General features: G+C 34.5%; 1 protein-coding gene across 9 annotated transcripts in view; it reads right to left on the bottom strand.

Moving 5' to 3' along the window:
* Positions 1-14,958, bottom strand: part of PALS2 (protein associated with LIN7 2, MAGUK p55 family member) — a 120,742-nt gene that overhangs the window by 69,706 nt on the left and 36,078 nt on the right. For 2 of the 9 annotated variants that reach the window (XM_011515425.3, XM_017012316.3), the window contains exon 2: positions 704-825. In XM_011515425.3, coding sequence (XP_011513727.1) covers positions 704-820 — 117 coding nt within the window. In that variant the 5' untranslated portion in view covers positions 821-825. Of the gene's footprint in view, positions 1-331; positions 350-703; positions 826-4,267; positions 4,437-14,958 lie in introns of those variants that run through there. The other 7 variants (NM_001303037.2, XM_006715738.4, NM_016447.4 and 4 more) reach the window with 6 other exon arrangements.

Raw genomic sequence — 14,958 nt, 5'->3', positions numbered from 1 at the left:
AGTGAAATCAACATTCTCATAGAGCAAAAACCAAAAGGAACAAGATGGCTCTATGAAGAAAAGATCAAAGAAGGCATGTGGCATAGATTCTTGAAAGCAAGAGTCATTTGGGGGAACTCTAAAGAATGGTATAGCAGGTTTGTAAAATAGGTAATACATTAAGCTTTAGCATATAATAATTATTTAATAAAAATGGTTGTAAAGTATACTTATCAATGAGTTAAAGAGATTACTCCAGAGTTGACTAGGGAAACAGACTTAAAATACCAGGCTTATGCAACAAATAACAAAATTTCAAAAAAGCACTAGATAAAGGAAGTCAAGAACTTACATGAAAAGTAGGTACACAGTCTAATGCAAAAGAAGAAAATCAGTACTTTGCCATTGTTGAAAATGGAAATAGGATCAGGATCTTTTTCACAGGCCCTGTTAAAACACAACTGTGCAGGTATGATTTCTCTAAACCTTAAAGGCATTACGCCAAAACTAAGAGTCATTTCATCCTGTATTTAAAGTCAGAGTAGAAAAGAGAAAAATGGTCTAATTTTTGCATATGTTAAGATTTCATTATGTGCTGAATGTTTTTATTTGCTAACTAAACCTAATGTATATCAACCAAATTCTAAAATAGTAATATCTGAAAATATCTCTATAAAAACTAAGTCCAAAATAATTCAGTAATCTTATGAATAAATCTATATACCTTAGCAAGTGATTTTACAATAGGATTCTCCATAATTCCCTTGAGGAAAATTAGGTCTATTTCTTCTGCTCCAGTAGACGAGGGCAGCTCCGTAAGGTTTTCCAAGACTTGCTGCATTGCTGCTGAGATAAAAGCAACATAAAAACAAACAAACAAACAAACAAACAAAAACCCTTAAATTTCAAGCCGTTATGGAGTAAGATTATTTTAATAATGCAACTAGACATTAAGAATACTCTTTGGAAAAATAACATTTTAAAAAATGAAATTGTTAAACAGTATGAGTTTCAAATTGACTTCCCAGGAATTAATAGCAGGATAGATTTTTATATGTAATTTGGACTTTATCAGACTACCTTACACATACTTACAACCTTGCACTTGCTCTGTATTTTTCAAATTTAAAAACATTACTCAAGAAAAAACAGAAAATTCAAACAGACTTATAAGAAGGAAAAAGTCTAATTTAGGAATCAGAAACTTCCCACAAGCTCAGAACCAGCCTTCACTGCTGAATTCTATCAAACAGTTAAAAAAGAATTAAAACCAATACTTCACAAACTCCTTCAAAAAAAAAAAAAAAACGGAAGAGAAGGAAACACCTTCCAACTCATTCTATGAGACCAATTACCCTGATACTAAACCCAACAACATCACACACAAAAAAATTACCACCAATCTCTCCTAGAAATACAAATGCAAAAATCTTAAACAAAATACTGAATCCAGTGACATATACAAACAATTGTACATAATGGCCAAGTTCACTTTATCCCAGGAATGAACGAGTGGTTCAACAGATAAAAACTCAACAGACTCTATTAATAAAACCAAGAACAAAACCAAATGACACTTCAGACAAAGAAAATCATTAGACAAAACCCAAAACTCTTTCATAATAAAAACATTCACCAAACTAAAAATAGAAGGGAAATTCTTCTCTCTGATAAAAGGCTTCTATGAAAAACCCACAGCTAATATCATACTTAATGGTGCTTTTACTCCTAATAAGGAAAAAAATAAGGCTGTACACTTTTGGCATTTTTATTCAACTTTGGATTAGAGGTTCTAGACAGGGCTGTTAAGCAAAAAAAAAAAAAAGAAAAAAGAAAATAAAGAAAAGGCATCCAGACTAGAAAGCAATAAGTAAAACAATTTATATTTGCAGATCATATGATTCTGTATATGGAAAATCCTAATATACAAAAATTTATTATCATTAATATGTGAGTTCACCAAGGTTTCAGTATACAAGATTAATACAAAACAACCAATATGTTGTTACACATAGTGTATTTCTATACACTGGTGACAAACAATCCAAAAATGAAATTAAGAAAACCATTCCTTTTACAGTAGCATCAAAGACAATAAAATACTGAGAAATAGATGTAACAGAAGTAGTACAAAATTTGTACAATGAAACTATAAAACATCATTGAAAGAATGAAAGAAGATCTAAATAAAGGGAATGACATCCCATGTTCATGGATCAGAGGACTTATTATTAAAATGGCAACAATTCCCAAATTAACCTACAGGTTTAATACACTCCCTATCAAAATCTGAACTGCCTTTTCTTTTTTTGTAGAAATTGACAAGCTCATTCCATTCATATGGAAACTCAAAAAAACCAGAATAGCCAAAAGAGTCTTCAAAAAGAACAACAAAGTTGGAGACCTCACACTTCTCAATTTCAAAACTTACTAAAAAGCTACAGTAATCAAGACTGTGTGGAACTAGCATATATACATACATACAACTAAACAACAGGCTAGAAACAAATCCATACATTTATGGTCAATTGATTCTGACAATGTGCCAAGACAATTCAATAAAGAAAAAAATAGTTTTTTCAACAGCTGGTGCTGGGACAACATATGTACATGTTAGAGAGTGACGCTAGACCCCTCCCCTCACTCAATATTATAATCTTAATTTTATTAGTTTTATCTCTTAGCTCATAGAATAAATCAACAGTAAATACAGAAGTCGTTTTTAATATTAACTTTTATTTTTATTAAAGTAAAATATAAACACTGTTAAAAGTCAGATTGTAGTACTAAATGGCTTATAAAATACAGTTTTCTGTTCCATGCTGCTTACCCTTCTCCCAACTTATCCTACTCCCAGAAGTAATTACTAGGAATTTAATTGTTTCTTCTAATCAGATCTGTTCGTAGTTTCTCTTCTTTCTGGATAATATGCTAATATTGCTACTTTGTGACTGACCCATTTTGGACATTATCTATTTTCTGTTAGAATACTAGAGGTTTCAGCTTTTACTTTCCCTATCTTCAGACTCTCAATTTTTAAAAACAAAATCAATAGTGTTTTTCATATGGAACTCTTAAGTTTTTTCCAAATGTTCCAACAAGCTTCTCACATTTTTACCAGTATTTTTCTAAATATTCAAATATTTTTCTAATACTCTATCAGACCTATTTCCTGTCTTCTATCCCTGATCTCCCTCACAAAGCATTCTCTTGTATGTTAACTTGGACAGGTTCATCCATGGGGGTTTCATGGATGACTGACAATTTTTGAAGGTAAAGAAGCGAACAAGAGGACAATGTGCACTTGACAAAGGAGAAGGAAAACAAGTATTGGATTAACATGAAGAAAGATGACATAAGAAGTAAAGAATATAAACTAAGCTACTTAGTAATTTTGCTTAAGGTCAACAAGTTACCTTTAAGTGGGCAGGGAACAATAGAATCAATTTTTAAAAGTACTTTTGTCCTGTGGCTATAAATGTGGTTAGCAGTACTTCCCATTATTTATTTTTCTTTCTTTTGACATTGTACATTTGTTTTTATTTTTAGCTTTTATTATGGAAAACTTCAAACATATGTGAAGAAAACAGAATAATATAATAAACCACACAATGATCAGCTCCAACAATTAGCAACTCATGGCCAATCTTGTTTCACACTCCTATATACTTTCTACCTTATATAACTTTGAAGCAAATTCCAGAAATCCTATTTCAATGTATATGTCTCAAAGATCAGCACTCCTTTTAAACAACATAACCAAAATACTGTTAGCAATAGTAACAAATTAGCAATACCTAGCAAATTAACAGTAATTCCTTAATGTTATCAAATGTTTAGTCAGTGTTCATAACGCCAGTTGTACTGAAGATTTTTAAAAAATGTACCTTCTGTATTGATTCTTGAAGTGCTTGTTTTTTTTTCAAATTGGTGTTTAAGTCAGTAGAAAAGTGAAAGAAATTGTGAAATAGATCTTTGGTTATTTTAAAGATCTTCATAAGTTGTTACTGACTCTTAATCATATGGAATTTAATCTAGAAATGGATAAACTTGACAACATCCCTTGTCCTGGCAAAGAAATCTCAAATATTATAATGCTGTCAATCATTCTCAAATTAGTTTGTATATTTGGTGGATTTATAGTCAAAATACAATACATAGTTCTTTTAAACTATATTATCCTAAAAGCATATGAAACGATAAAGAAAAACCATGTGACAAAATTATAACAAATAATGAGAGATGGGCCTAATCCCAACTTAGTACAAGTGATTCTGCAGTCTCTCACCAAAATGATGAACAATGGAATCTGAGCTGGTACCTTCTTACAGAAATCTCTCCTGCTGTTTAGCTGCTTAAAATGGAAATGGCTGTCCTTTGTTACCAAATCCCTTTCTTCTCCAAACTTCAAATAATGTACTTTCGTGATTTTTTTAAAGTAGCAAAATGATTTAGTCCTATAAAATATTAAAACATAAATCTATAATAATTATTCAGATATCGATAAACACAAGACAACTCTAGTATATGTAAAAACTTAATATATAAAATAAGAGGCTCTCTGGAATGGGAGCCTTACAAAGTTAAGATAGGAGCCAGAAAAACAGGGAAGTTTTTCCCATTTACTTAGAGATTTCGGGAAGAAAGGAGAGTCTAAACTCAAAAAGTAAGTTACCTACAAGTTCCACTCCTTCTCAATAATCACTAGAGGAGATAAACATTTTAATCAGACCCTAGATTCAATAACACATAAATGGGATTCTTTTTTCTTTCTTTTTTTTTTTTTTTTTTGAGACAGAGTCTCGCTCTGTTGCCCAGGCTGGAGTGCAGTGGCGGGATCTCGGCTCACTGCAAGCTCCGCCTCCCAGGTTCACGCCATTCTCCTGCCTCAGCCTCCCGAGTAGCTGGGACTACAGGCACCCACCACCACGGCCAGCTAATTTTTTGTATTTTTTAGTAGAGACGGGGTTTCACCGTGTTAGCCAGGATGGTCTCCATCCCCTGACCTCCTGATCCGCCCACCTCGGCCTCCCAAAGTGCTGGGATTACAGGCGTGAGCTACCGCGCCCAGCCATAAATGGGATTCTTACATGGGCTAGAGAAAAATTAATAGATTTAATCTAGACTCTTCAGTTACAAATATGAATAAACCATGAATCACCAATCACTTATGAAAACTAGCAGCATGCATTAGACTAACCAAATTCAACAAACAAAAGCATGAGCCTCCAGAGAAACAGAATTACTACCAAATAAAAAGAGAGGAAAACAAAAACAAAAACAAAGATTAAATTGTGATACACAGAAAGATCAAGCGGAAGAATACTCCCATTAAAAAAGGGCAAAGAGCAGGAAAGTATGAGTAAACTATTATGGATCACGAAAGACCAAAATTTACAAGGTAATTAAATCCAGAAACGAATAAAAGGAAAAGCAAAAGTCATCCAATCAAAAGAGATAGATTCAATCAGTAAGTCAGTAAATAGCTGGCTTTTTCAAGTGACCAATTAAATAGACAAATACTTGGCTAGTCTAATCAAAAAAAGACAAGACACGAAGAGTGATGTCAGTAAGATGGCTGACGGTAAGTGTCTGGTGCACATTCCTCCGCTTCAAGAAAGGACCACGGCAATAAATAAACAGCTAAGATTTGACTGGAGTGTTGAAGGGAGAGTGCCGAAGTACAGCAGGGAAGTGGAGAGGTACCTGTGATGACTGGGAGCCCACAAGGCCAGCGTGGAGGCATCCTGCCTCTGCCATCCCATCCTCCGAGCCTGGAATGGCCCAGAGTCAGAAGGGACTTCTCCTTGTGGGAGCGGAGGCTTGGTAGGGGAGGAAGGTAATCAGAGGAACCTCAGCAGCCTCCACTCCCACTGCAAACACATGCAATCCTTACTACAGGAGAATCCACAGTCCTTGCAAGCCCTGAGCCCAGTTTGGGGAGCTGCTGTGAATTCACACAGCTGTATTCCCCCAGACTGGGAGCACAAGATCTGCACTTACTCCCTTGTGAGCCAAGCTGCTGCAGCATGTCACCGATCACCTTGAGACCAGAACCATTTCTGAAGTACACCCTGCACTTTTCCAGCCTAGGAGTTGTTTTCATTCCACTAAGTCCACACAGGTGTCTGAATGCCACAACCCCAGCTGCACAGAGCCTGAGCACAGGATCTGCTGTGGCTCTGGTCCTGCAGAGCAAGGAAACCAATCCCTGCTGCCAGCACTTCTGGTCAAACAGTCTGGTGGACACATCCAGGGAGAACCCACCCTTGAGCCAGTCACACCACTGTATGCCCTCCCCTGAGCAGCAGAGGTCCCTGAGCAACTGAGCAGCTGACATGTCCCCATGGTGGCCGGGTAGTTGCACACCCATGTCCTGAGCCTGAAAAACAGCCTGGCAGGCTAGCCTCTGGTGAAGATGTCCTTGAACTGGCTCCACATTGGCACCTACACCCTAAGATACTCCAGGAGGCCTGAACTCAACAAACATGCCCACAGACTGGCTAAGCAGTTGTGCACCCAGCCCAGAACCTAAAAAACAGACTAGTAGGTTCTCCTCTGGCAGACATGCCCCTAGACTGGCCGAGTGGCTGCACACCACCCCTGAGAACTTGAGAAATAGCCCAGTGGCCCCAACCCAGGCATTGTGTCTCCAAGCCAGCCAAGCAGGCATGTGCCCATGCCACCAGCCAGAGTAACAGCCCCATGGCCATAATCCCAGCAAGCCAGACACCAAGTTGGTTGCCTCATCACAGCGTTCACTCATGCACCCCTGACCTGAGAAACAGCCCAGTGAGCCCACCCCTGGCAAAGCTGCACCATCGCAGCCACAAACTCTTGCAGCTTAGGCCACTGAAACACTTACAAACATCACTAAAATTGATTACTGCTGAAGAATCTGCAAAGAGACTACACAAGTGGGTCTACCTAAAAACAAAGTGAATGCACCCCACGCAACCAATACTCTAAGTTTTTTCAACAACTCCATAAAACTGGAAAAGGCAACTTTTCTACCATATGTGTAGAAATAAATCAATGTAGAGCTACATCAAACATGAAAATACAAAGAAACGTGACACTTCCAAAGGAATACAGTAATTCTCCAATAACAGATCCCAATTATTAGGAAATATACAAAATATCACAAAGAGAATTCAAAATAATAATCGTAAGGAAACAGTGAGATACAAAATAATAGATACATGATTCAACAAAATTAGGAAAAATGATTCATTGTTTGAATGAGAAATTCAAAAAGAGAGAGATATTAGAAAACAGAAATCTTAGAGCTGAAGAATTCAATGAATGAAATTAGAAGAAAATACAATGAAGAGCTTCAACAAAGGACTAGACCAGGCAGAAGAAAGAATTTCTGAACTTAGGACAGGTCTTCTGAAATAACTAAGGCAGACAAAAAGAAAAAAAGAATAATTTAAAGAATACTATTAAGTGAACAAATATTCACATTATGAGAGTTCCAGAAGAAGAAGAGAAGGGAAATATCATAGGAAATATTTAATGAGCTAGTTGTAAAAAACTTCCCAAGTCTTGGGAGATAATGGACATTCAGATCCAGGAAGCACAAAAGTCCTCGAATTGATAAAATCCAAACAGTCCTCTCTGGGGCACATTATACTCAAACTGTCAAAAGTCAAAGACAAAGAGTTCTAAAAACAGCAAAAGAAAAGCATCAAGTCATAGACGAAGAAATCAAAACATCACTACAGAGAACCACTCATCCACAAAAATAAACAATAAGAGAATGTAAGAAACAAGGGATATTTTTTAAAGAGAAAATAAAACAACAAAATGACAGGAGTAAGTCCTCACATATCAACAACACCCTTGGCTGTAAACGGATTGGATTCCCCAATTAAAAAATATAAACTGGATGAATGGATTTAAAAAACAAGAGTCAATTACATGTTGCCTACAAGAAACTCATTTCAACTGTGAAGACACACAGAGGGAAAGCAAAGAGATGAAAAAAGATATTCCATGTAAATGAAAACCAAAAGCTACACTTATTTCATTTCAGATAAAACAGACTTTAAAAGTTTTTTCAGTTATTGTAAATATAATGGCTTTCTTGATTTTTAATGTGTGTTGTTTGTATATAGAAATACTACTGATTTTTGTGTATTTATTTTGTATTCTGAAACCTTACTGAATTTACCATTTCTAAGAGTTTTTTTTGTAGAGTCTTTTAGGCTTTTCTTTATTGTAAGATCATGCCATATGTAAACAGTAACAATTTGATTTCTCCCTTTCCAATTTGGATGGCTTTTATTTCTTTCTCCTTTCTGTCACTCTTGCTGGAATTTCCAGTACTGTGCTGAATAAGACTGGTGAGAGTGGATGCTCTTGTCTTGTTCCAGTCCTTACAGGAAAAGCTCAAAGCTTTTCAGCTTTCAATGGGATATTAGCTGTGGGTTTGCCATATATGGCCATTATTTTGTTAAGGTACATTTCTTCTCTACCTAATTTATTGAGTTTTTATCAGGAAGGAATGTTGAATTTTACAAAACGCTTTTTCTGCATCTATTGAGATGATTATGTGGTTTTTATTTTTCATTCTGTTCATGAGTCACATTTATTGATTTGTGTATATTGAACCATTGCTGCATCCCTGTAATCCCACTTGATCATGTTGTATGATCTTTTTGATGTGTTGTTGGATTTGGTTTGATAATATTGTTGAGGATTTTTGCATTTATGTTCAGTAGGGATATTGGTCTGTAGTTTTCTTTTTGTGTGATGTCCTTGTCTGGTTTTGGTATCAGGGTTATTTTGGCCTTGTAGAATGAGTTTAGAAGAATTCCCTCCCCTCCAATTTTTGGAATAGTTTGAGAAGATAATTTAGTGGTGAAGCCATCCAGTCCTGGACTTTCCTTTGTTGGGAGTCTTTTTTTTTATTACTGATTCAGTCGTATCATACATTGTTGGTCTGTTCAGGTCTTCTATCTCATCTGGACTCAATCTTGGTAGGTTTTATATGTCCAGGAATTTATTATCTATTTTCTCTAGATTTTCAAATGTATTGACATATAGTTGTTCCTAATAGTCTTCAATGATCCTTGTGTTTCTGTAATATCAGTTATGACATGTTTTGTTTCTGATTTTATTTGGATTTGCTCTTTTTTTCTTGTTGATTTTATCTTTTTAAAAAACCAACTTCTTTTGTTGACTTTGTATTATTTTAGTCTTTACTTTCTGCTCTGATCCTTATTATTTTCTTCCTTTCACTACCTTTGAGTTTGGTTTGTTCTTGTTTTTCTAGTTCCTTCAGATGCATCATTAGGTTATTTGAAATCTTTCTCCTTTTTTGATGCAGGCATTTACTGCTATAAACTAGTATCTTACTACTGCTTTTGCTGTATCTCACAGGTTTTGATATATTGTGTTTCTATTTTTATTTGTTTCAAGGAATTTTTAAATTTCCTTTTAAATTTCTTCATTCATTGGTCATTCAGGATCATGTGGTTGAAATTCCATGTTTTTGTACAGTTTTATGTTTCTCTTGTTACTGGTTTCTAGTTTTATTTCATTGTGGTCAGATAAGATACTTGATATTATTTTGATTTTTAAAAATTTTTGTGACTTGTATGCCCTAACATATGGTCATAAATGTGGTTGGCAGTACTTCTCATTACTTTTCTTTCCTTTGACATTGTATGTTTGCCTTTATTTTTCCTAGAAAATGTTTCATGTGCTGACGAAAAAAATGTGTATTCTGCAGCTGTTGGGTGAAATGTTCTGTAAATGTCTGTTAGGTCTATTTGGCCTATGGTGCAGTTTAAATCTGGTATCTCGTTGATTTTCTGACTAGGTGATCTGTCCAATGCTGAGAATGGGATGCTGAAGTTTCCAACTATTATTGTATCAGGGTCTATCCTTTTAGATGTAATAATACTTCCTTTTATATCTGGTGCTCCAGGGTTGTGTGCATTTATAATTGATTTAGCCTGTTGCTTAATTTACCCTTTTACTACAATGTCCTTGTCTCTCTTCAAATAAGAAATAAAGGGCATCCAAATTGGAAAGGGAGAAGTCAAATTGTTACTATTTACATATGACATGATCTTACAATAAAGAAAAGCCTAAAAGACTACCAAAAAAACTCTTGGAACTGATAAATTTAGTCAGGTTTCAGAACACAAATACACAAAAATCAGTAGTATATCTATACACAAACAACACACATTAAAAATCAAGAAAGCTATTATATTTATAATAACTGAAAAAAAACCCTAAGAATAAATTTAACCAAGGATTTGGAGAAAAAGGAACTCTTTTACACTATTGGTGGAAATGTAAACTAGTACAGCCACAATGGAGGACAGTAGGGAGATTCCTTAAAATCTACAAATAGAACTACCACATCATCCAGCAATGCCACTACTGGGAATTTATTCAAAGTACAGGAAATCAGTGTATTAATGAGATATCTGTGCCACCCCCATGTTTACTGCAGCACTATTCATAATAGTCATCATACAGAATCAATCAAAGTGTCCAATAACAGATAAATGAATAAAGCAAATGTGGTATATATACATAATGGAATACTATTCAGCCATAAAAAGGAATAAAATCCTGTCATGTGCAGCAACCTGGATGGAACTGGAGGATATCAAGTGAAATAAATCAGGAACAGAAAGTTAAACATCACAAGTTCTCACTCTTACATGGAAGCTAAAAAAGTTGATCTTACAGAAGTAGAAAGTAGAACAGAGGTTACTAGAGGCAGGGAAGAATAGGGGGAAAGAAGGGGTAGGAAGAGATGTGATAAAGGACACAAAATTACAGCTAGATATGAGGAATAAGTTCTAGTGTTTTATAGCACCATAAGGTGACCATAGTTGACAACAGTATACATTTTCAAGCGGCTGAAGAGAGGATATTCGAATGCTCCCAACACAAATAAATGAAAAATGTTTGAGACAATGGATATGCTAATTATCCTGATCTGATCACTAAACATTGTATGTACTAAAACATCACTAAGTACCCCATAAATATGTACAATTATTAATGTGTCAATTAATTAAAAAAAGGCAAGACACAAATAACATTAGAAACGAGATGAGAAAATAACTGTAGGTATAGAGATTTTTAAATCTCTTTTAAGAATACAATGAACAACTTTATTTTAAAAATCTAGTCAAGTAGGTGATTTTCTAAGAAAATGTCAATTATCAAAGAAAGAAGTAAAAAATGAAATAGATCAAATAGAAGAAACTGAAAGATTTCCAAGGGTCCTCTCTTTAAAAAAAGGCATGAGATCTGGAGAGATTTAAGAATAAAGTCTATCAAACCTTTAAGATGGAGATAATTCATTTTTAAAACAAAACAGAAAAGACTGAAAGCTTTCCAATTTCTACATAGACTTCAAAACTTAGTTAAAAAATTATAATGTAATTTAATATAATATCATAGAATAAGGAAAAAACCCAAACTCATCTCAATGCTTAAGATATATCAGATAGAATTCAAATCCCAATTCTGATGGAAAAAACCTTACCTTAGTAAAAACAGAAGGAAATAAGAGTCATTTTATACCAGGTTCTATAGGAAGCATCACATTTAATGGAGAAATGTCAGAAGCTTTACTATTAAGTCAGGGACTAGACAAGAATGCCCACTACGATGACTACTTTTCAAACTTGTAGTTTAAGTTTTAAGTAATGTAGTAAGACATAGCATTTTAAGAAATGCAGATGATATAAGTGCATTCTCAAGAACTGCAGAAAGGTCTGAAGAAATCAGTGAAAAAATTAGTAAAGTTATTTATGAGAGTTTGGCTGACTATAAATAAGAGCAACACAGAAAAATCAACAGTTTTCCTAAATAATCGTAATAACCAAATAAGACTAAAATGTTCAGACAGATATGAAAATTATTAAAATTATGCTGAGACATTTAAAATAAATTGATTAAATGGAGAAGCCGTGTTCTGAGGTAAGAAGATCCAATAACGTAAAAATGCCAATTCTCTCCAAATTATTCTTTAAAAAAAAATGAATAAATCCTAATAGAAATCCCAAAAGCATTTTGGGTAAATTTATCCTAAAATTTACCTGAAAAAGAAAGTACGTAAAACTAGCCAACATGATTTTTTAGGAAAGCATAAATGTCAAGGAGGTACCTGCTATCAACTGTAAAAACACTGTATATTCAAATAGTGCAGTATTATCATAGGAACAGACAAATCTTCAGAGTAGTTAAATGAAACAATATACAATAAAGGTGACATTTCAAATCAGTGGGCCTAGGGTTCAGTAAAATATGTTAGATTGACTACCTGAGTTTATATTCTTTTTCTTCACAATCTCTATTAAAACAGCAGCAAAGTATTAAGGCAAAAAACCACATGAACAAAGGGAATAGCTAAAGAGAAACACTGTACAAAAATATTCAAAAGTATTTCAAAGCTTAAAAGTGGTAGGAGTAGAAACAGACACAGCAAAGAAGCAGTAAATTCTACCTCGTAAATATTTCTAGAATCTAGAATCTATCAGTTTCTTTCCATCACCCCCTAATGAGTCCTTGCCATTATCATATCGTACCCAGACTACCCCAACAGCCTGGTATCTACATATAACTTATGAGGAATTAAAATGTGATTTTATGGCTTATAAGCATTTTAATATATTGCTAGATTCAATTTGCACCACTCCCACAGCTTTAAACATACCAGTATTACCCCAGCCCTGATGCAAAACCCTCCCTGCACTTACCACCACCTATACACAACCATCTTTGCATACCTAATTCACACTCATTCTTTAAGGGCAAAATATCAATGTCCCTAACTGCCCTAATTAGGATAACTTCTCCTAAGACATACTTTCATAGTACTCTATACTTCATAATTCTGATAAACCTATATAATTAAATTTTTTGGTATTTAATGTGCAACTTCCTTTCTAAACTCTAAGTTTTATGAGTGCAGAAATCATCTTTGCATCCCCAACAACTAGGCCACATCTGGGACATCATTACTTCTTGGTGGCATAGTTTCACAGTCACAAAAATGTTACATTTTTCTGTTACCAAAATCAAGAATAGTTTTAAATGTACATATTACTATTTATAAATAAAATTGTGTAATACTTGGAAGCAGCAAAAGGTGATATTGTTTATAGAGTAGTACTCTTAAAGCTATCAACTTCCCGTGAATTGCATAACAAGGCATAAAGATAGAAGTGGCATCTTTAGTCTACTAAAATGGCAAGCTTTTACGGTAATACTTCCTGCCTATAAATGTATTTCTAGCTGTCTACAATACAGTTTATTATGTTAAGGAAATGTAATAAAAGTGTTATTTATTCGCCTATATTCTGCCCCAGAAGTTTTCTGTAACAATTGTTTTACAAAAGCATTTCTACCCAGGTTTAGAACTGTAAGTAAATGAGCTATTCTTAATATACTAGGCCGTGCCTATTTTAATATTAAAAATCCTTTTGTAACTACATTAGGTGATAGGTTCACACCCATTTAATTCAACAAACTGAATTTCCATTGAAAATATGACAGCTAAATTAAGCATTCATAAGATGTTAAAAATTACTTCTGCTCTTATATTTTACAGATAAAATAATTATTTCACCAGATCCATGTTGCATAACTTACAGTATCCATGAAATGAAAAACAAAATCTCATTCTATGCATTATTTTTAAGTATTTTCTTAAAGGAAGCACTTAAAAGTCATCTGCACTATTTCTAAGGTTTTTGCAATACAGCAGCAACATTATTTTGTAAAGTACATTTCCAAGAGATGATAAAGAAAAAAGAACTGACTGAAATTTCATTTTCTTAAGATTAAATTTTGATGCAACTATTTTCACATACTGATTTGACCATAACCAGAGTTCACTTAAAACATTAAATCAATAAAAATAATTTTCTATAAACTGACAATATGCTATCCATATCTTCCCTCTCAAACTACTATCTTGAAACTGTAATTTAGTAATATTTCATTGAATCAAAGAAAAGTAGGACTTTGCGCACAGCTAATTCCATAGGTATTTACTCACAGCTAGACGCTATGCACGTGGTTAGATGTTGAAGAAAATATATGGACAAACCATCTGTTCCCCAAAAACTCAAATTTATTAGAGTAGACCAAAATGTATAAACACATGTATGAAACTGGTGATAAGATCATCATAAAGTAATCACAGAAAAAGGTGATACAGCACAGTGGTAAAGAACCTGCATTCTACCACTTAACTAGTCCTGAAAACCCGGGTAAATTACTTACCCTCCTAAAGTGGGTTTCTTTCACCTGTTAAATGGGGGAATGACAATGGTATCTAACTCACAGGTTTGTTATTGCTAAATAATACATGGAAAACTCCTAGAACAATACTTCCTACTGCATTATTAGTATTGTGGAAATAAGGGAAAGCAGTTAACTCTTTATTTGATGGGTTTGGTGGGGTGTTAAGAACATGAGACACACGGGGACACACCACTGGAAGTATCCTAGTGGAAAAAACTAAACTGAATTCATCTTAAAAACACTGAATTTATGATCAGTATTTAAAGCCTTAAAACAAATGTAGAGCTGAATTTCCTAAACCATTCCTAGAGAAAATTCAAGCTTGGAGTCAACAACAACAACAAAGTGCAGGCACAGTGGAGGGGCAGTCATTCCAGGCCATTAAGGAATCGCATATAGAAGAGCCCACATTTTGGCCTGACTAAATACCACAAACTTCTTTCCAAAGACAGTGGGGGTTTGTTCTCTTTGGGGAGGGCTCTGAATGGGGATGTGGGAGCCTGAAAAAAAAGAGAGTAGAGGCTGAGGTAGATCTCGTTCTTTGCAAAGGACACTAGAGGAGGAGGGATGGAGGAAGGGAGATTGCCTAGGAGTGAATGCACTAAAGCAGGGTTTTTCAAACAGGAAACCACTGGCACTTAGGGAGAAAAAAATTCCTTTTTTCATCAAACGGCTGTTGTCTTCCAC

This window comes from Homo sapiens, chromosome 7 (genome assembly GCF_000001405.40).
Source record: "Homo sapiens chromosome 7, GRCh38.p14 Primary Assembly".
Lineage (NCBI taxonomy): Eukaryota > Metazoa > Chordata > Mammalia > Primates > Hominidae > Homo > Homo sapiens.
This window is presented reverse-complemented; position numbering and strand designations above follow the sequence as displayed.